The following is a 22,858-nucleotide window of genomic DNA, read 5'->3' as shown; positions in this document are numbered from 1 at the left end:
GTCAGGATGTGGGACTCTGTCTTCTTCTGACGGTTCCCCAGGGAACCTCTCTAAGTTTAGCATTCTGTGCCTATGAACGTCTTCTCTAAGTATTTGAAAGAGATTATTTTAATATGAAGAGCAGTTCTCACTCGCACAAAATGTGGATTGATGCTTACTGGGATGAAAAGTCCTCAAACATGGTCACCACGATCAGAGTCTGAGTGAGCTCAGGGCTTCCTGCTGAGTCTCCTCCTATCAGACCAAGGACAGGGACCTCAGTGAGGTTCCCCGTCTAGAACAGTCTTTATGGATACTGATTGTGGGCGGCAAGCCACCCAGGTGCCGACGCAAGAGACCGAGGACACGAGCTGTTCCAGTACAATAAAATATAAAACAAGAATAGTTATACCAGATATAGATCTTAGATATGATTATATATGAATATCATTAATCATTAGTTGGTAGCAATTACTCTTTATTCCAATATTATAATAATCCTCACTCTACAATCATAACCTAGGAAAAGCCAGGCCATACAGAGATAGGAGCTGAGGGGACATAGTGAGAAGTGACCAGAAGACAAGAGTGCGAGCCTTCTGTTATGCCTGGACAGGGCGACCAGAGGGCTCCTTGGTCTAGCAGTAATGCCAGCATCTGGGAAGACGCCTGTTGCCAAGCGGACCATGGTCTAGTGGTAGACTCAGTGTCAAGGAAAAACACCTGCTACTTAGCAGACCAGGAAAGGGAGTCTCCCTTTCCCCGGGGAGTTTAGAGAAGACTCTGCTCCTCCACCTCCTGTGGAGGGCCTGATATCAGTCAGACCCGCCCGCACTTATCCGGAGGCCTAACAGTCTCCCTGTGATGCTGTGCTTCAGTGGCCACACTCCTAGTCCTCCTTCGTGTTCCATCCTGTACACCTGGCTCTGCCTTCTAGATAGCAGTAGCAAATCAGTGAAAGTACTAACAGTCTCTGATAAGCAGAAATAATATTGTAAGCTGTTTCTCTCCTTCTCCTCTCTCTCTCTGCCTCAGCTGCCAGGCAGGAAAGGGTCCCCTGTCCAGTGGACACGTGACCCATGTGACCTTACCTATCATTGGAGATGGCTCACACTCCTTACCCTGTCCCTTTGTCTTATATCCAATTAATATCAGCGCAGCCTGGCATTCAGGGCCACTACTAGTCTCCGCATCTTGGTGGTAGTGGTCCCCCGGGCCCAGCTGTCTTTTCTTTTATCTCTTTGTCTTGTGTCTTTATTTCTATGCTCTCTCGTCTCCGCACACGGGGAGAAACCCACTGACCCTGTGGGGCTGGTCCCTACACTGATCACAGACAATAGAGGGTAGGCCAGGATCAGTGTCATGTAGGACATCACAGGTTTCACCTCTGAACCTTTTCCTGACACTAAATATGCAAATCAGCATCAGCACTGATCTGGTGATTCTTTTGTTCCTAATCCATTTAATTCCTTTTTCAGTCGTTGTTTTCATTTTTCCGTTTGCTTTTCCTGCTTTCTGCAAAAGGAAGATTTTTCCCTGTGGTCAAAATTCCGGACCTCAAGCCCTTTCCTGACGCTCAGGTGGGTCTCAGGCTGTGGCTGCTGCAGTCACGCGGGAGAGGCTGGTGGGACTTTCTTCACTCCTCGTCACTCAGGGCCCTCCACTGTGTTGCATGGAGACTTATCTGGAAATGCAAGTTGCGACTGAGAACTGAAGGGGACAAGCTTGTTTGGTTAACATGGGATGTGGATGTGTTTCTAATTTTGTTCTGATAAACTTTCACAGAGTAACTTTCTGCACTAGTCATGTGAGGAAGAGGATGTGAACGTTGTCAGAATAAAAATAGAACAACTTGTGTTATAATCTTTACAGGTGAAGCTGGAGAAGGTCATGAATAGAGGGTTCTCATGCACACATCCCTGATAACAAGAACTACCATAAAATTACTCTGCACAACCACAACTTTCAACAAAGGCTACCACAACAATAAGAGAATTAATATTGTGAGGATATCTGCCCTGCAACTCCCAGTACAATCTTAAACTGATTCCACCCTTGTTATTAATTCTTCTACCCCCAGGATAATTGCCTCAGAACAGCTCATGTAAGTCCTCTCATTTATCCTTTAAAACAACCTTTACCAACCTTTACTAACCTGACTTCCTTTACCTACCTAAATATGCCCAGGGATAATCCCACTGGAATGCTCATTTTCAAATACATATTATTTGATTTTGGAGAATTTCTTTCTGTCTGATATTCAGGTGTGACAAGCTGTAGAGGGTCACACCACTTTCCTGTGAGATGTAGGGGATGACAATTTGGGGGGATGGCTGGAAACATCCAATATCCTCAGGGTCGGCCATCAGTAAGCGCAGGCTGGAAGTCTCAGAACGAGTTGAAGCTGCTTAACCACGGAATTTTACCTTCTCCAGATCAGCTTTGATGGAATCAGGGCCAAACTGGTTATCAATGATAATCTACCTAACATTGAGTCAACTGATCACAGTTTTAATAACCTCTATTAAAAATTCACACCAACACTTGGATTAGTGTCTGATCAAATAACTACAAAGTATTTTCCAGCCAAGTATACCATAAAACAGACCATTACCCATGGAGAAAAACATTTAACATGAGTTCTAGGTCCTTACATTGTTAAAGGTGTAAAACTGATTATTTTTAAATTATGCTTTTTATTTTTGCTATTGAGTTGTAGAAGTTTCATTTACATTTTGGATATTAACGCTTTTTTCAGATACATGATATATTATCCAATTCTGTGAGTTGGAATTATTTCATTGCTTTGCAGAATATTTTTTTAATCTAGTCCAACTTGTTCAATTCTGCTTTTTTTTAAATGTGCTTTGAATGTAAAATCCAGAAAAAGATTGCTAATTTTTGAGGATTGGGAGTTTTACAGTTGCAGGAATTTCATTGAAATATTTAATGCATTTAAAGTTAATTTTTGTGTTTATTCTAACCTAAAATTCTTAATTCTTCACATGTGAAAATCCAGTTTTCATAACATGCTCTTTGGAAGACACCATAATTTAGCCATTGTATGTTGATGTTTCTCATGCTGAAAATCAGTTCGCCATCAATATGTGGGTTTATATCTAAGCTCTCTATATGCATTTATGCTGATACCATTCGGATTTATTACTCTGTGTTTGTAACAAATGTTGAGGACTGGAAGTGAAATGCCTCAAGCTTTATTCTTGCCTTATTACAGATATTAGACCAAAATATTCTAACCTTCTACTAGTGAGTATAATAATAGCTGTCGCTTTTTTTTTTTTTTTGATTCAGAGTTTCACTCTTGTTGTGTAGGCTGGAGTGCAGTGGTGTGATCTCAGCTCACCGCAACCTCTGCCTCCCGGGTTCAAGCGATTCTCCTGCCTCGGCCTCCCGAGTAGCTGGGATTACAGGCATGCACCACCACACCCGGCTAATTTTGTATTTTCAGTAAAGATGGGGTTTCTCCATGTTGGTCAGGCTGGTCGCGAACTCCAGACCTCAGGTGATCCTCCCGCCTCAGCCTCCCAAAGTGCTGGGATTACAAGCATGAGCCACTGCACCCAGCCTCTTCATTTTTTTTTTATTCATATGTTCATTCAGCAGCCACTATGTCTTCCCATTGATTTCTTTGGTTTCCTCTTTACTATCTTTTTCTTTTTAGTAAAGCTGTTACTCCTAAGGGAAGATGGGAGGTGGGCCTGGACAGGGATTTGGTGCATTCCTCTCTTCACTCCCAGTTCTTATTGATCTCTCCAGTGTCTCTAGAACACTGGTTTTCCTGGCATTACCGCTGCAGATAATTTCTCTTGCAATGTAGTGCTGATGAGGAGGTGTGTCTGGATGCATTTCAGCTATAGTTGCTGTTTTGCTTACCCTGACACAACCGTCCCAAGGGGTAGAGGCTGGAGCATTTTGTGATGTGTCCCCAGTACTGAAGAAAAAGGCTTCAATAGCAGGAGGAATTCCTCAACTGTATACACTCTGAGAATTTAAACAATAACTTCTCTATCACACTCAAATTTAAACCATCCAATGAATATGTCTACTTTAATCGTAACTTAAATGATATTTGGCAGCCTCTGTCCCAGAAAAGATTATCGTCTGCTCCTGTTTATTTCCCTGCAAGTCTTTATCTCTCTTCAGATTTCAGATATCTTGTTTGTCTTATAACATCAAAAATCTGATGAATTTAAGAAAATGTGCTAATTTGCAGATCAGTAAGCTTTAGTAGTTGTGAGAATAATAACAAATTTTTATGGGATGCCTACATCTCCAAGCTGAGTAGCATCTTTATTTCTAACACTCAGAAACTAGAAACAATGCAAATATCAAGAAGATATATAGATAAAGAGTAATGGCATGCTAATTTACGGTAATCATAGCCATCACTAGAATCAATACACTGTTGATGCTCAATGTGGTTGAATCACAAGTAGTTATAATGAGTGAGAAGCCACACACATAAAACACATACTATATAATTCCTGTATAATAAATTCTTGAAACTCAAAACCAAAGTATTCAATATGAAGGATTGACTCAGAATATGGCAAGGGAAAAAAATAATTGGGAAGGAGGAATTGTAGAGTAACACAAGGAAACTTTTAAGTGTAATTTATTTGTTCGTTATCTGGATGGTTTTTGGGGATGCACAGGTGAGCACGAGTGGAATTACATTTTGTTGTGTTTGTTTTTTTCTGAAGAGATGTGGTCCTACTCTGTGACCCAGGCAGGACTGCAGTGGTGGGATCATAGTTCAATGTAGCTTCCAACTTCTGGTCACCAACGATCCTCCTGCATCTGCCATCTAAGTAGCTGAAACTACAGTTGTGTGCCACCAGGCTCAGCTTGAGTACTTATTAAATCAAACACTTTATGCAATATTTAATGTATGGCAATAATGTCTCATTGAGAGTATTACAAATAAATGAATGGATAATTTGTTCAGTACAGATTGATGGAAAATAGACACTAACATGAGGAATGTCTGACATTTATGAACATACAACTGCATAAAATGTGTTCTCTTACATTCATTAGGTAAACACAATAGTGCATACACATCAAACCATGCTTTCATTACAGGAAGGAAGTTCTGAAAATGTCACTGGGGGTGACCCACGCTGTGCTGGGCTTGGTTCGGGGGCAGTCAGGCCCGGTGGTGAGAAGCACAGGCCCAGATACCCAGGCTTACTCTGCAAATGTGAGCTCTGGGGACATTGTACCACCCATCTGTGCTTCTGCTGGTAATTTTCCATCTGTAACGTGGAAATAACATTGATACTACATACCGTGATTTCTCCACATATGTAAAAATAAAATAAGATGATTGCTGCTAAGTTTAAATAAGGGCAGTTTTCATAGGTCCATTGTACCTCAATAAAATTACTTTAAAATAAAAATTACAAATACAGTTGTAGGTTTAAAGAGTTTATCACAGAACAAACTTATAATAAGAAACTATATTTTCAAAAATTGTATCAATATCTCTAAACTCCCCCAGGACACACTCACCTGCTCTGGGCTCTCCACTCTCCTCAGGATTCCCACCCCAGAGCTTGCTATATAGTAGGAGACATGCAAACAGAGCCAAACCTCTGCTGATGAAAAGCAGCCCAGCCCTGACCCTGCAGCTCTGGGAGAGGAGCCCCAGCTCCAGGATTCCCAGGTCTTTCCATTTAGTCTTCAGGGCTGAGCACAGAGGACTCACCATGGAGTCTGGGCTGAGCTGGGTTTTCCTTGTTGCTATTTTGAAAGGTGATTCATGGGGAATGAGTTGAATGTAAGTGAATATGAGTGAGAGAAACAGTGGATGTGTGCGGCAGTTTCTGACCAGGGTGTCTCTGTGTTTGCAGGTGTCCAGTGTGAGGTGCAGCTGGTGGAGTCTGGGTGAGGCTTGGTACAGCCTGGAGGGTCCCTGAGACTCTCCTGTGCAGCCTCTGGATTCACCTTCAGTAGCTCCTGGATGCACTGGGTCTGCCAGGCTCCGGAGAAGGGGCTGGAGTGGGTGGCCGACATAAAGTGTGACGGAAGTGAGAAATACTATGTAGACTCTGTGAAGGGCCGATTGACCATCTCCAGAGACAATGCCAAGAACTCCCTCTATCTGCAAGTGAACAGCCTGAGAGCTGAGGACATGACCGTGTATTACTGTGTGAGAGGCACAGTGAGGGGAGGTCAGTGTGAGCCCAGACACAAACCTCCTGCAGGGGCATCTGGAGCCACAAGGGGGCGCTCAGGATACACAGAGGACAGGGGCAGCCCCAGGGCAGGTGCAGGTGGAGGTCAAGGGCTGCTCTCCTTCAGGGTCTGTGGCTTCCTCTCATCTAACAGTTCCGCAGGGAGCCTCTTGTATTTACAGTGATGTGCTACTGAGGTTTCTAAGTTTGTAAAGTTTATTACTACAGGAGGAACCACTATCAAACGCCCTTAAGGCAGGTGTCACTAATGGAGAAAGGAAAGTGCACAGGAGGCTGGGTGAGGCTGTGGACACTGTCTGCCTATGATTCAAGTTTCACAAGCAGTGACGGAGAAATGGGAGTTTGATGGAGCTCCCTAACTACCATGTGGTCTAAACTAAGTCCAACTAAGTCCCTGAGCTCTGGGTGCCCATCAGGGATCCGCCATGTGCCCGGCAGCCGCGTGCCTTTTTGTCTCCTCTGCGCCCAATCACTGTCTGTGATGAGCTTCCAGGATGTGTGTGTTTGGCACAAACCAGGTGATGGACGTCAGACAGCAGCAGCTGGTGCCCGGATCATGGGCTCCCTAATGCTGGAGGAATGAGAGGTGCATTCTCAGGGACAAGACATTGTTGATGGATTTTTATGTAGAAACCACGATTTTACTTGCTTCTCTCAGGAGACATAGAAGAAGCAACCATGCAGTCAGCAAATAATTATAATTTCCACAATTACCCCAAATGGTTAATCCTTAATTCTGCGCAGGGTCCCACCGTAGAGTCACCTTTCTCATGAGGAATGGTTGAATCTAGAATGAGTCCACATGATTTTCATATTTTTGGCTTCTGTCCATGTTCAGAGAGTTAGAGTAGAGTAAGTTTGGACCTTTCCACACACTAAGCCTCACCTCCCCCACAGAAAGAGCAGAGACTTCAACTATTCCTGAGTGTGGGGTAGGGGCTGGTCCTGCACACCTCAGAGCCTGCAGAGACTGCCACGTGCAGTGTTATAGACTTGGGTGTTTTCTCATTCAGGAGGGGTGACCTCCACGGCCTCCGATTTCTGCTAAGATATAACTGTGAGTGCAGAATTAGGACACTATTAGGCTATCATGCCTCACTTCTATTCTGAAAATCACCCTCTTTATAGTAAAAGAAAACAATTCAATGTCCATGCCCCTGAAAGTCATTTCTTTTTAATTTGGTTGCGAGTTTACCACATAGTGCCTGAATTTATTCTCAGAATCTACTGAATTGTTTATAAATCTCACAAATTGAACAAAAGTGAATTCTTCATTCTTACTAAAATGTGTGTATGTAGGAATTTCAGTGTGTTTTCCAGAAGCCATGCACACCAACCACTGTGTTTCATGGTCATTTATTGGCCTGGTGAGGCCCTCACAGACCCCCTCCCTCACCTGTGCTGTCTCTGGATTCTCCATCACAACTAGTGCTTCCTGCTGGAGCTGGATCCGCCAGTCCTCAGTCAAGGGAGTGGATCAGGGCATAGGTCACGAGGGAGCACAAATTCTAACCCACTCCTCATGAGCTCAGTCACCATCTCCAGATCCACGTCCAAGAACCAAATTTTCTTTTAGCTGAGTTCTGTGACCAACAATGCCACAACCTTGTATTACTGTGAGAGGAACAGAAGAGATGTCAGTGTGATCCCAGACACAAACTTCCCTGGAGAGGGGCCCAGGACCACCAAAGAGCACTCAGGCTCCATGAAAACAGGGCCCAAGCTGGAGAACGGGTTTCCTGTCACCCTCACGTTTCACCATTAGATACTCTACACTATGCCTATGCTGAGGTGTGTGTTTAATATAATTAGAAAATGGTATTTATATACGTGTATAATCATATCTAGTGTAAGAATTTGTAGTTTCCACCTTATGTGACCATTAAAGACAACATCTCTCACGTTATTCAAGGACCTTATAAAGTATAATACTTTTACATAAGATTTATCTCCTTTTTTGTTTCTCCTTCTGTCTATATTCTCTCTGTCTCTCTCTTCCTCCCTCTTTCTCTCTCTCTCTCCATCTCTCTCTCTCTGTCTCTCTCTCACACACAAATACACACACATGCAATCGTTGACAGTATATAGGCTAATTAAGAATATATTCCCATATGATTTAAAAATAACAGTTTTACAAATATTTGCCTTTAATTTTTCAAAGAAAATTAAATCCAAATGCCAGTGATTTTTTATGTGACTTTTAAAATTTAAATTGTTAATTTTTGTTTTCATCAATGCTTGTATGTGTGCTTTTGTATTCTTTCAGATTATTTGGTGCCTTCACAGAATTAAACATGTGAAACTCTCCACTTGAATTTCTGTGACTCAGGACTGGTGAGCAAAAAGTTAGAAGTCACTCTCCTGATCCTTCCCTACAGCTGCAGATTCCTGAAGGTAATGACCTCACAGTAGACCAAGGCCCTCAAAGGTGACCTTGAGTTCCAGCACATCTTGGGAGGCCAAGCGGATGTTTGTGAAAGAAATAGTGGCTATGTGACAGTTTCTAACCAGAATATCTCTGTGTTTTCAGGTATCCAGGGTGAGGCCCAGCTTACAGAGTCTGGGGGAGACTTGGTACACTTAGAGGGGCCCCTGAGGCTCTCCTGTGCAGCCTCTTGGTTCACCTTCAGTATCTATGAGATTCACTGGGTTTGCCAGGCCTCAGGGAAGGGGCTGGAATGGGTTGCAGTTATATGGCGTGGTGAAAGTCATCAATACAATGCAGACTATGTTAGGGGCAGACTCACCACTTCCAGAGACAACACCAAGTACATGCTGTACATGCAAATGATCAGCCTGAGAACCCAGAACATGGCAGCATTTAACTGTGCAGGAAACATCGTGATGGGAAGTCCACGTGGGCTCAGAGACAGACTGCCATGCAGGACACAGGGGGTGGCTTGGCTGAAGGGGGCACTCAGCACCCACAGAAGACAGGAGCAGCCCAGGGCAGGGGCAGGTGGAGTTCAAGGGCTGCTTTCCTGTCAGGTTCTGTGGCTTCTTCTGCATCAAATGCGTTCTCCTGGGAGCCTCTCTATATTTATGGTTCTCTGCCTACCACTGAGGCCTCTGGATTGGAAAAGATTACTACTAGAAAAAAAAATTCTCATATACCCCTGAAGAATACATCATTAATTGAGGCAGAAGATGTCACAGGAGGCCAGGGAGGCTGTGGAAACTGTGCGACGTGGATGCACATCTGACAACAAAGACATAAAAAATCAGGGAACACTGATAAAACCTCCTAATTATGCCATGGCCCTCTCTAAGCCTAGTAAAGCCATTGATGCCTTCCTGGGCCAAACCCACCCATCAGGGATCACTCCTGTGTCCCAGCAGCAGACATGCCTTAGAATCTCCACTGTATGTAATCACTGTCTGGGAGGAGCTCCCAGGGCATGTGTCTTTGCATTAACCAGGTGATGGGTGTCAGAGAACAGCAGCTGGATGCCTGGTCTATGGGTTCCCTGATGTTGAAGAAATGGGAGGTGCAGTCTCAGAGCCAATACACTGTTTATGCATTTTTATATAGAAACCATGATTTTTCTTGCTTCTCTCAGATGACACAGAGGATCAAGAAAACAGTCTGTAAACAATTGTAATGTCCCCATTTCTTCTGAATAAATGCATTATTTCTTAATTCTGAGTGGGGGTTTGTCAGACCATGCCCTTCTCCTAAGCAATTGTTCAATCCAGGCTGAAACCACATGGGGATCACATACTTTGGTTTGGTTCAGGTGCAGAGGTCTTCAGTAGAGCAAATTTGGTCCTTCCCACACAGTAAGCCTCACCTTCCTCAGAGAAAGAGCTGAAATTGATCCAACTTTGTCTGAGGTGGGAGCTGCTTCTCCACACCTTGGAGCTTGCAGAGACCCCTAAATGCAGCTTTATTGAGTCAGGTGTGTCTCCATGTGGGGGACTTCTGCTGCTAGTGATCTCTGCTCAGTTCTAAATGTGGGTTCAGAATTAGGACACTTAGGTTATCACGCCTCAAAAATTACCATCATTGTAGATAGAAATAATAGTACAATGCCAATTGTTGTCACTTGTTTCTTATTATTATTGGAGTATAAGTTTGAAGAGACAAATTGTTACCATATATTTGCATAAATCTAATGTCAGAATCTCTTGAATTGCTCTTGAACACTTACAAACTGGTTAGAAGCAGATTCTTATTTTTTTCTATACTAGTGTATTTTGGGATGTCAACATTTTGTCCAGAACATGTGAGTACCAATAACTGTGTGTTTCAGAAATGACTGTGAGATTCAGTCATTTCTATCGAGTGGGAAAACCAGTTAACTTTGTCTTTGATATATGGATGGAAGCCCAAGATAGAGGCTTGTCAGTCATTGTTTCTGTGCCTTCTCCCTTGGGAATGTCTGTATTTTTTTATGCTCTGTCCTGGGTCTATACCCCAATGGTTCCCCTACTCCATGGCACCTGCCTGTGCCTGTGCATGCCCCTGCCCACACTCTCCGTGAAACATCTGCTTTGGCTCAGGAAGAACCCCTCCTCTGCCTTTTTTCCTCCTGCCCCTGGTCCACATTCTTCTCCATCCACAGGCTCTCAGCAGCACCTCCCATCCACACTAACCCTACATGGGGTCATACCTTGTCCACCACTTCCTCTCTCTTTTCTTCTGAGCTTTGCCTTTTATTCCAACAGCCTGTTTCCATCTCACCTGGACTTGTGTACAGGAAAGGATTTACCGAGCAGTCTTGGGTTGTGCAAACCCTGAACATTCCTGAAAAAGTGCTTTCTCAAGCTAGGCCCATATTCAGCTCCTGGGAGATGATATCTGCCTTTTTGGCATACTCCTCCTGGTAGTATTATTAAACCACTTGATTAAGATAAGGTTTACATCTGTAAAACTACACATTATTTAACATACTTAACTCATTGAGTTTGGAGTAAGTATACATCTGCAAAGTTATCCCCATCATCAAGGTCATAACCATAGAAATCACTTCCAAAACATTCCTCTTATCTCTCTTAATATTGTGATTATTTTATTAGTTAAAATGTATTTTTGTTTGTGTTTGTCTGTGTCTCTGTGTGTGTAGCCTGGGTGCACGCTATACTAGCTGTTTTCATAATGACTTATGGTGAATGCCTATTAGTGCTCAAGAGGCCGGCGTCTGAGCACTGGAGGTCAATTGTGCAGGTGTCACACACATCTGTGATGGGCCCAATAAACAGCCCTGGGCACAAGCACTCAGGTGAGCTTCCCTGGTGGACAATGCTTCACACATGTTGTCATGCATCACTGCTGGGAGAACTGGGGACAAGAGACTCCTCAGGGAAAGAACACCTGGGAGCTCATGCCTGGATTCTCAGGGCCTTCTCCCTGGTGCCTTTGCTCATTTTAATTCATATTCATTCGCTATAATAAAGCTGCACCCATGAGAATAACAGCTTTTCTTGTGTCCTTTATTTGTACTGATTAAGGGGCCTGAGGATGGTCTTGGGACACTCAACACAATTACATCAGAGTTGGAGAATGCTAGAAAGTTCCTGATTGCTGACGCATGGCTAGAGGATTTTTTATAACATCAAAGGATGAGAAAGTGCGGGATAAAAGACATTCAATGCCCAGATGGCTACAGAATCATATGGCATGAGATGGCATGTACACTCCAATAAGGAGCAGGAAGTGAAAGTAATCCATGGAATTTAGAAACAACAGATACAGCTTCCTAGGAGTTGTTCCCTGAAAAAGGAAAAGTAAAAATAATGAGGAACAACCCGAATATGCAATTCATATCTGTGATAGCTAAAATAATAGTAAAAAGATGCACATCCAGCCCTGCAGTGTGCCCTGTGAGCCGAGGCTGCTAGACTCCCATTCACCACCAAAGGGTACAGTTGTCCAGAAACAACACACAACACATAAGAGTGACACAGAAGGTAGCCCAGAGTTTGGGCTGGGGAGAGGAATCCACTAGACAACTATAACAAGGAGGACAGCATGGAAAGTGGCATCATTTTGTGATATGATTGATATCATTAATTTATATCATCGGATTGTGAACAAAGTTAGCCAATGGACTATGAGAGTGACTGACGTAGCAGCTTCTCTGGCTTCGTGTGCTGCAGATGAGAGGAGAATGTTTGGGAGGATGCTGGACCCACAGCTCACAACAGACATATGACAGACGTAGCTGATCCCAACCTCAAGTAGGATGTTCTTGATGAGACAGCTTCCCTGGTGCACTGGATATCAGATCCTGTATAGTTTCAGAACTTGTGTAGTTTGTGTTGCTTTGGCTTTTTCTCTGGATCTTTTAGGTGCTAATGAAATGAGAGTGCTTCACAAAAAAATGGGGCAGACAAAGGGGATAGTTAAGGGCCTCCTCCAAGCAATGTGGATATCATAAAATAAATGTTAAAAAATGAAAGAACTAAACAAGAAGGTGCTGGGGTTGACACAAAGGACTTAAAACAGCACTACCAGGAGTTGGGTGCAGCAATGGGCATCCCTTCAGGTCCATCAGCAAGTCAGAGACCTAAACAAATATTCCCTATTCATGTTGAATTGGCAGAGTGTAAAAATCTAGAAGACAAAATGGCCAGGAAAAATGTGCGATTTTGCATGGGTGAAGGTCTGGCAAGTTAATCATCTTGAGGACTGTTGAGGTCCTGAGGTGGTCCTGCCCTTGCTTGATGCCCAGGCCGTAGTCCAACTCACACGAAATTGCCAGGGAATAGACAGTAGTTTTTTTAGTAGTTCTTGTTATCAGGCATAAGTGCATTTGAATTTTCTCTTCATGGCCTTTCCTGGCACTATTTCTCATTTTTTTTAACACACATAGTTTCAACTAGATTTATCACCTTCACAGGGTCACAGAGAAGGGTGGAAGAAGGGAGGCCCTGTATGGGTCTCGAAGAAACATGGAAAAGAGTGGAGAGGGACAATAGCAGGGTGTAAGGAATTATTGAGACCTTACTCTGCCCCTCCCAGGAGGCTCAGGCCAGCCTTTTTCTGCATTTGAGGTTCTGGGTTATAAACGCTGTAGACTCCTCCCTTCAGGGCAGGGTGACAACTATGCAAATGCAAGTGGGGGCCTCCCCACTTAAACCCAGGGCTCCCCTCCACAGTGAGTCTCCCTCACTGCCCAGCTGGGATCTCAGGGCTTCATTTTCTGTCCTCCACCATCATGGGGTCAACCGCCATCCTCGCCCTCCTCCTGGCTGTTCTCCAAGGTCAGTCCTGCCGAGGGCTTGAGGTCACAGAGGAGAACGGGTGGAAAGGAGCCCCTGATTCAAATTTTGTGTCTCCCCCACAGGAGTCTGTGCCGAGGTGCAGCTGGTGCAGTCTGGAGCAGAGGTGAAAAAGCCCGGGGAGTCTCTGAAGATCTCCTGTAAGGGTTCTGGATACAGCTTTACCAGCTACTGGATCGGCTGGGTGCGCCAGATGCCCGGGAAAGGCCTGGAGTGGATGGGGATCATCTATCCTGGTGACTCTGATACCAGATACAGCCCGTCCTTCCAAGGCCAGGTCACCATCTCAGCCGACAAGTCCATCAGCACCGCCTACCTGCAGTGGAGCAGCCTGAAGGCCTCGGACACCGCCATGTATTACTGTGCGAGACACACAGTGAGAGAAACCAGCCCCGAGCCCGTCTAAAACCCTCCACACCGCAGGTGCAGAATGAGCTGCTAGAGACTCACTCCCCAGGGGCCTCTCTATTCATCCGGGGAGGAAACACTGGCTGTTTGTGTCCTCAGGAGCAAGAACCAGAGAACAATGTGGGAGGGTTCCCAGCCCCTAAGGCAACTGTATAGGGGACCTGACCATGGGAGGTGGATTCTCTGACGGGGCTCTTGTGTGTTCTACAAGGTTGTTCATGGTGTATATTAGATGGTTAACATCAAAAGGCTGCCTAACAGGCACCTCTCCAATATGACAGTATTTTAATTAGTGAAAATTTTACACAGTTCATCATTGCTTGCTTGCCTTCCTCCCTCCTGTCCACTCTCACTCACTCCTTCTTTTATTTTCTACTTAATTTTACAAAATCATTTAACCCCTTTTTGAACTATTAATAGGTTATCTTTGTTTGGTGATTGTTTTCCTTTCAATAATATGTACTGAATAATTCATCTTTGTGCCAATTCATAAGTATTCTGGTGTAATAAAGACTTCTTTCATAAAAATTGGATAAATTAAAATAAAGATAAATTTTTAAAAACATACGATCTATCAAAACTGAACCATAAAGAAATAAAAACTCTGGGTTGGGTGTGTTTGCTCATTCCTGTAATCCCAGCACTTTGGGAGGCCATGGCCGGTGGATCACCTGAGGTCAGGAGTTCGATATCGGTCTGGCAAACGTGGAGAAACGCTGTCTCCACTAAAAATACAAAAATTAGCTGGACATGGTGGTGCTCGCCTGTAGTCCCAGATACTTGGGAGCCTAAGGCCAGAGAAGAGATTGAACCCGGGAGGCAGAGGTTGAAATAAGCCGAAATCTAGCCACTGCATTCCAGACTGGGCAACAGAGTGAGACTCCATCCCGAAAAAAAAAACTGAACAGACCTATGAGTAAAGAGATTGAGTCAGTGATTTTTCAAACATCTCAAATCAAAGAAAAGTCAAGAACTTCATGGCTTCACTACTGAATTTTATCAAAAATTTAAAAAAAAACTAGAATCTCTATACAAATTTCCAACAAAATAAAGAGGAAAAAATACATGCAAGCTTATTTTGGAAGGTCCTATTTCCAAAGCAAGGAAAAGACACTCCAAATAAATAAAATTACAGGCTAATATCCCTGATTATCTAGTTTCAAAAACTCTCAAGGGTGGTGAGAAACCAAATTCAACAGCACATTAACAACAGAATTCACCATGATCAGGTGTGGTTTATCTCTAGGAAGCAATGAAGTTTCAACCTGCAGAAATAAATGTGATATATCAAATGAAAATATTGAAGGACTAAAACCATATGCACCATATGTCCATGTCAATAGATGCAGAAAGAGCCTCTGTCGAAATCCACTACACTCTAATTTTTAAAAATCTGAACATATTATGCATAAAACATATATACCTCAACATAATAAAGACCACATATCACAAGCCCACATCTAACATCATACACAGTGATGAAAATTTTATTTTCCTCTAAGACTAGAAACTAGACAAGATGCTTCACTATCACCAATATTATTAAACACAGCACTGGGTGGTCTAGACAAAACAGGCCAGAAGAAAAAAATAGAAGTCATCCATATAGTAATGAATAAATATAAAATATATTTTTACATATTACATGCTCTTATTTATACAAAGCCTTAAACACTCCACCAAAAAAGATTGAAACTAATGAAGAAATTCAATAAAGTTGCAGAATCCAAAATCAAACTTACATTTCAAGATGGCAGGTTAGAGGCATTGCTAGTATACCTCTTCCACTTGGAAGGACAAACTGATGTGGAGAGATGAACATCGCGGACTTATTTTCAAGAAGCAATGCAGGAACTGAACAGAAACACTGAAATAATCTACAAACTTTCTGAAAAAGCAGGAAGCTGCAGCCTACACTGTGAGTCAGGTGAAGGGCTGGGAGTCCCCAGCATTTGAGGGAGAACAGCCAAAAATTTCAGCCAGTGGTCCCAAGTTGAAAGTAGCTCTCAACAGGGGTGTGTAATATAACCTAGGGTTGGGACGAACTCCCTTGGCCAGGGCCTGGGTAGGGAAGTGTTAAAAGTGGGCTCTGCAAGTTTAGGAGCCATGGGTGCAGGAGCTGGTGCCCTGCTTTGCAGCAGACAGGAAGGGGCATGGCATGAAACCCATGGCTGCAGTCTCCATGGGGACAGCCTATGACTCCTGGCATTTGCAGGTATTGATCACAGATTGACTGAAACTCATCTCACTGCTGCCAGTGGAACACCACGGGAGTGGATCAGCCTCACCAAGTATGTGGGAACTGTGTGGGGCCTACCACCACCTGCCACTCCCCACCCCCTGCCCAAACTTCTGTGCAGCAGAGGCAGCCATGGTCCCATCTGGAACATCATCCCAGTGGCCTGAGAACCACCCCTGTCCCCCACACCCACAGGGGCTGCTGCTTGCCCTGCATACAGAGACTCAGAGCGGAAACCCACCTGGCCCAACCCTCACCTTGCTTTGTGCAGCCACCTGCCCTGGCAGCTTAACACAAAAGACAGCATCTTTTGGGAGCTACATAGCCACACCCACTGCCTAAGAATCCATAGTAGCCCCCATACCTGGGCAACACAAGGCTTGCAAAAATCCCACCGCTAATAATGCAGCTGGTGCTCTTTTGCAAGCACCACCTCTTAGCTGGAGGCCAACCAACCATGCATTACAGCATCTCCTAGTAGACTAACACTGCATCCTGGAAGGAGAAAATGACTGTGCGATCTCAGTTATCACCATGGCCTGCACCACTTTGGATGACCAGGAGATCCTGAGTCTCTCCATGTGACCAGTTCATTGCTACTATAACCATCATTCAAGAAAGCCAGTACACAAAGGCTATCAATATCCATGGAATTTCACAGAGTCTCCTTCACTCTCCTGCCTGCCACTCCCATCAGACCCGGTTCTGCTGCTCACTGTTGAAAAATATGAGGACAGTTCACATCACTGGATCACTTAGAGACATTTGCCCACACCAGCCTGAAGTGTGTCAACGTCACTGGGCAGCTAGACCTAGAGAAGAAACATAACTCACAGTACCATGGCTCCCAGGTTCTCCTCCTCTTAGGGGAAGGGAGTGCACCACATTGAGGGAACACCTCATGGGACAAGAGAATCTGGATGGCAGGCCTTGGACACCAGATCCCTCCACTGGTGGGAAACTTCTTCTAGCAGAAGTACAGTTGCAGCACTGGGCTCAGCTGGGAAAGTCTTCAGCTCTTTCTCAACAGACAGCCCTGTTGCTTGTGAAGAATCTTGAAGAAGAGGAAGCCTTTCCCCCTTGTACACCACTGTAGGCACACTTGGGGTCTCTCCCACAAGACCTCAGCATGGGTGCAACTATAGACAGCCTTTCTGGAACACATCATTGTGACTGCATCCCCCAGAAACAGCACTTTCTGGATTCAGGCTTGCATGAGACAGAGAGTCACAGTTCCTCTCTATTTGGCACATGAACATTTGTACAGATGAAAAAACATGCCTGTCTTATCTGAATAGCCGGAATACTGGGACAGCAGTATGTCTGAGAGGTGGATAAATTTCCTACTGACTTGACAAGAGAGCTGAGGTGGTTCCAACCCTTCCCACCGATAAGACCTCAGTGGGACTCACTAAAACCTCTTTCAGCCAACTCTGTCAAGGCTGGGACTTAATTTACCCACCTGCTTTAGCCACAACTAGTTTCTACCCAAGGAAAAGTCCTCCACTGATGTGAAGCTTGAGCCATCAAGCAAATAAATAAATCACTGGGGACAAATAAAATAAACATGTGCATGCCACAGAGGAATGAGATAAGGTTTAAGAGACCTCTACCATTCTAACCCCATAGAAGACAGTGAACTTGCTCACAGACCGAGCAGATTTCTACTGCAATCAACACATAGGAAAGCCATCATACAAAGATTCTCCATAACCCCGGAACTCTTACAGAGTCTTCACCCCTCTAAGGACCAAAAACCAAATCAGGTTGTAATTAATTATAAGCATTAAAGTCTCATTCTTAAGGGAAAAAAATCCATTTAAAAACAAACACAAGAAACAGTCAAATCAAACATAAATTCAATAATAATTAGAAAATCTACCAAAATGAGAGGAAATGAGAAAAATAACTGGGGAAAAATGAGAAAACAGGGTGCTGTGCCAGTGCCAAAAGGTCACAAGGTCACACTACCTCTCCAGCAATAAACCATAACAAAAATGGAGTCTTTGAAATATCAGAAAAGAAAATCAGAATGTTGATTGATAAGCTACTCAAGAAGATATCAGAAAAAGGCAAAAATCATAATAAATAAATTTATAAAACTGTTGAGAATATGAATACAAATTTTTACAGAGAGATAGACATCCTAAAGAGAAACCAATCAGAACTCCTGAAAATTTAAAAAAATGCAGGGAATTGGAAAGGGAATTACAAAATGCCATGGAAAGTTTGAAAAATAGACTAGAAAAAAGTAGCAGAAATAACAATAGACTAGAAACAGTACAAAATAAAAGTAGAAGTAAAATATTCGAGGAAAAAGAAAAAGGAAACAGTTAAAGAAAAAAGTAGAAAGACCAGACTATTATTGAAATAACCAAATCAGAGAAAAATAAATTTAAAAAGAGCCAAAAGAAGTGAAAAAAGTCTCCAGGAAATATGGGATTATGTAAAACAAACAAATTTAAGAATAATTGGTGCTCCTGAAGAAGAAAAAATAATAATAAGTTTGGAAAACTTCTCTGAAGGAATAATTGAGAACTACTTCTCTGGCCTGACTAAAGACCTAGATATCCAAATCCAAAAAGTTCAAGGAACTCCTGGGGAATTCATTGCAAAAATACCTTCACCAAGCATACAGTCATCAGGCTACCTAAAGTCTACATGAAGGAAATAATTCTAAGAGCAGTAAAACGAAGAAACCCATCAGAATAATGGCAGACGTCTCAGCAGAAACTTGACAAGCAAGACAGATTAGGGTTCTATTTTCAAACTCCTTAAACAGAAAAACTTTCAACCAAGAATTCTTTTTTATCCCGCCAAACTGTTTTATAAATAAAAAAGAAATAAAGTCATTTTCAGAAAAACAAATGCTGAGGGAATTCATCACTATCAAACCAGCACTACAAGAAATGCTAGAATAAGTTCTAAACCTTGAAACAAAAGGCCAATATGCACAAAAATGGAACCTCTTAAAAATTAAAAACTCACGGGGCCTATAAAACAATAACACAATATCAAAGAATAAACAAAATTAGGTAATGACATGACAAAGAGAATAGCAACTCATATCTAAATATTCACATTGAATGTAAATCATAAAAGGCATGGAAGAAGGAATTTCACAAAAATAGAAACCAGGAGTGAGCAGGACTAGCTATTTTTGATCTCAGACAAAACAGGACTTCAAAGCAAAAACAATTTAAAAAGACATAGATGATCACTATACAATGATAAAAGGATCAATTCAACAAAAAATTACAATTACATATTTATATGCACCAAACACTGGAGGAACTAGATTCATTAAACAAGTACTGCTAGACCTAAAAAACTGAGAGAGTTAGCAAAACAATCATAATGGGAGATTTTAGTACAATCATGACAGTACTAAACAGATCTTCGAGACAAAAAGTCAACAGATAAACAATGCACCTAAATGACTCACTGGAACAAATGGATGCAGCAGATATTTACAGAACATTCTATCCAAGATCTGCAGAATATACATTCTTCTAATCAGCACATGCAACATTCTCCAAGGTAGAGCATATACTAGGCCACAAAACAAGTCTCAATAAATTTTTAAAACAATGAAATCATATCAAGTATCTTCTCAGACCACAGCAGAATAAAACTAAAAATCATCTCGCTAAAGAACTGTCGAAAATGAACAAATACATAGAAATTAAGAAATTTGCTTCTGAATAATATCTGGGTTAACAGTTACATCAAGATGAAAATTTAAAAATTATCTTAATTAAATTATAATAATGAGACAAGTTATTGAAACCTCAAAAATAAAGGAAAAGCAGTGATAAGAGGAAAGTTTATAGTGCCAGCTGCCTGCATCAAAAAGTCTGAAAGAGCACAAATTCACAACCTAATGTCACACCTTGAGAAATTGGAGAAACAAGAACAAACTAAACATAGAGCCAGAAGAAGAAAAGAAATAACAAAGATCAGAGCAGAACTAAATGCAATCCAAACAAAAAAAAGCAATGAAACAAACAGTTGGTTATTTGAAAAAATAAACAAATTCATGGGTCATTAGCTAGATTAACAAAGAAAAGAATATCAAAGATCCAAATAAGCTCAGAAATGAAACGAGACATTACAATCTACACCACTAATATAAAAAATAATTTGAGACTACTAAGTTCACCTTCATGTGCACAATGTAGAAGACTTAGAGGAAATGGAAAAATTTCTAGAAACATACAACACTCCTAGATTAAATAAAAAAGAAACAGTTACTTTGAATAGACAAATAACAAACAGTGAGATTGAATCAGTAATTCAAGAATTGCCAACAATAACAACAATGAAATAGGGCCAGGTGAATTCACAGCTGAATTCTATCAAAAAATTTAAAGAAGAATTGCTGCCAATTTTGCTGCAACTATTTTTTAAATTTAGATAAAAAAGAATCCTCCCTAAATTATTCTATGAAGCTAGTATAACCAAGATACCAAAACCAGGAAAACACACACACACAGACACACACACACTCTACAGATGAATTTCCCTGATAAATATAGATGCAAAAATAGCAAAAAAAAAAATAGCTAGTTGAGTTCAACAGCACATCAAAAAGATAATTCCTCATGATCAAGCGTGTTTCATCTCAGAATTGCAGGGATTATTTGAACATACTCAAGTCAATAAATGTAATACATCACATAAACAGAATTACAAATAAAAACCTTACGATTGTCTCAATAGATGCAGAAAAAGCATTCAACAAAATTCAGCATTTTTTAATGATAAAAACTGTAAATAAATGAGGCATAGAAGAAACCTGCCTCAAACTAATAAAAGTTACATATGAAAAATCCACAGCTAATATCATGCTGAATGTGAAAAAGTTAAAAGCATTTACCCTGAGAACACAAACAATACAAGGATGCCCAAGTTCACCAATTCTATTCAACATAGTTCTGGAAGTTCTAGCCAGAGCAATTAGTCAGGAGAAAAAAAATAAGGGTATCCAAATTTAAAAAGAGAACGTCAGACTATCACTGTTTACAGATCAAGGGATTATATATATTAAAACCCTAGACTCCTCCAAAATACTAATAGTTTTAGTAAATGAATTCAGTTAAGTCTCAGATTACAAAATACATGTACACAAATTAGTAGCACGGCTATATATCAACAACAGCAATGCTGAGAGTTAAATCAAGAACTCCATCCCTTTTACAGAAGCTGCGAAAAGATAGTATATTTACCAATATACTTAACCAAAAGGGTAAAAGATCTCAACAAGGAGAACTACACAACACTGCTGAAAGAAATCATAGATGATACAAACAAATGCAAATGCATCCCCTGATCATGGATTGCAAGAATCGCTATTGTGAAAATGACCATAATGCCTAAAGCAATCTACAGAATCAATGAAATTCTTATTAAAATACCAACATTATTTTCTACAGAATTCAAAAATAATAACGCTGAAATTTATTTGAAACCAAAAAAAAGCCAAAATACCCAAAGAAATCCTAATAAGATAAAGAAAATTGGAGCCATCACATTACTGAACTTCATATTACACCACAAGGCTGCAGTTACCAAAACAACATGGCACTGACATAATAGTAGGCTCATAGACCACTGGAACAAAATAGAGAACCCAGAAATAAAGCCACATATGTAAATCCAACTGATGCTTTGCAAAATGTACCAAATTTTAAATTGAAAAATAGACACCACATTTAACAAATGGTACAAGAAAAACTAGCAAGCCACATGTAAAAGAATAAAACTGGATTTCTATCTGTCACCATATAAAAGACCAACTCAAGATGAATCAGGTACTGAAATATAAGACATTAAACTCAAAAATTCTAGAAAACAATATTGGAAAAACACTTTTAGACATCAGGGTAGGCAAAGAATTTATAACTAAGACCCCAAAAGCAAATGCAGCAAAAACAAAACTAAATTTATGGAACCCATTTAAACTAAAGTGTTTCTTCACAGCACAACTAAGAGTCAATGGAGTAAAAAGACAACTCACAGAACGGGAGAAAATATGTGCAAACTTCACATCTGACAAAAAATTGGTATATTCAGAATCTACAAAATACTAAAACAAGTCGCCAAGAAAAAACAAACGATCCCATTTGAAAGTGGACAAGGGACATAAATAGATAGTTCTCAGAAGAAGATATACAAATGGCCAACAAACATATGAAAAACTGTGTAACATCACTAATCATCAGGAAAATACAAATTAAAACCACAATCTAATAACACCTAATCCTGCAAGAATGGCCACTATAAAAAGTCAAAAAACAAAAGGGAATGCTTATACACTGTTGATGAAAATGTAATTTAGTATAACCACTATGGAAAACACTATTGAGATTTCTTGAAAAGCAGAAAGGTAGATCTACTATTTTTTTTTTCTTTTTTGAGATGGAGTCTCTCTCAGTCACCCAGGCTGGAGTGCAGTGGTGCAATCTCATCTCATTGCAACCTCCGCCTCCCGTGTCAAGTGATGCTCCCACCTCAGCCTCCAGAGTATCTGGGATTACAGGCACCCACCATCATGCCTGGCTAATTGTTTTTTGAATTTTTGTAGAGAAGGGGTTTCCCCATGTTGGCCAGGCTGGTCTCCAACTCCTGACCTCAGCTGATCCTCCCCGCTCGGCAGCCCAAATTACTGAAATTACAGGCGTGCAGCATCACACCTGGCCAGATCTACTGTTTGATCCAGCAATCTCATTACTGGAGAGCTACCCAAAGGAAATAAAGTCATTATATGAAAAAGACGTGTATATGT

At 41.6% G+C, this 22,858-nt stretch overlaps 3 pseudogenes, 1 gene segment (V, D, J or C) and 1 further gene; all 5 read left to right on the top strand.

Moving 5' to 3' along the window:
- The window catches only part of IGH (immunoglobulin heavy locus), a 1,293,408-nt gene that overhangs the window by 287,307 nt on the left and 983,243 nt on the right, over nucleotides 1-22,858 (top strand).
- Nucleotides 5,712-6,162, top strand: IGHV3-52 (immunoglobulin heavy variable 3-52 (pseudogene); annotated as a pseudogene). The gene is given in 2 exon segments: nucleotides 5,712-5,757; nucleotides 5,856-6,162. Coding segments are annotated over 2 exon segments (353 nt in total).
- IGHVII-51-2 (immunoglobulin heavy variable (II)-51-2 (pseudogene)) lies at nucleotides 7,562-7,824 on the top strand (annotated as a pseudogene). Its single transcript is given in 1 exon segment — nucleotides 7,562-7,824. A coding segment is annotated over 1 exon segment (263 nt).
- IGHV8-51-1 (immunoglobulin heavy variable IGHV8-51-1 (non-functional)) lies at nucleotides 8,731-9,037 on the top strand (annotated as a pseudogene). The gene is given in 1 exon segment: nucleotides 8,731-9,037. A coding segment is annotated over 1 exon segment (307 nt).
- On the top strand, nucleotides 13,361-13,796 carry IGHV5-51 (immunoglobulin heavy variable 5-51). The segment is given in 2 exon segments: nucleotides 13,361-13,406; nucleotides 13,490-13,796. Coding segments are annotated over 2 exon segments (353 nt in total), but the record flags the coding sequence as incomplete, so codon positions are not given.

The sequence above is a fragment of the Homo sapiens genome, chromosome 14 (genome assembly GCF_000001405.40).
Source record: "Homo sapiens chromosome 14, GRCh38.p14 Primary Assembly".
Taxonomy (NCBI): domain Eukaryota; kingdom Metazoa; phylum Chordata; class Mammalia; order Primates; family Hominidae; genus Homo; species Homo sapiens.
Note: the sequence above shows the minus strand (reverse complement) of the source record. Positions and strands in the feature narration are given on the sequence as shown.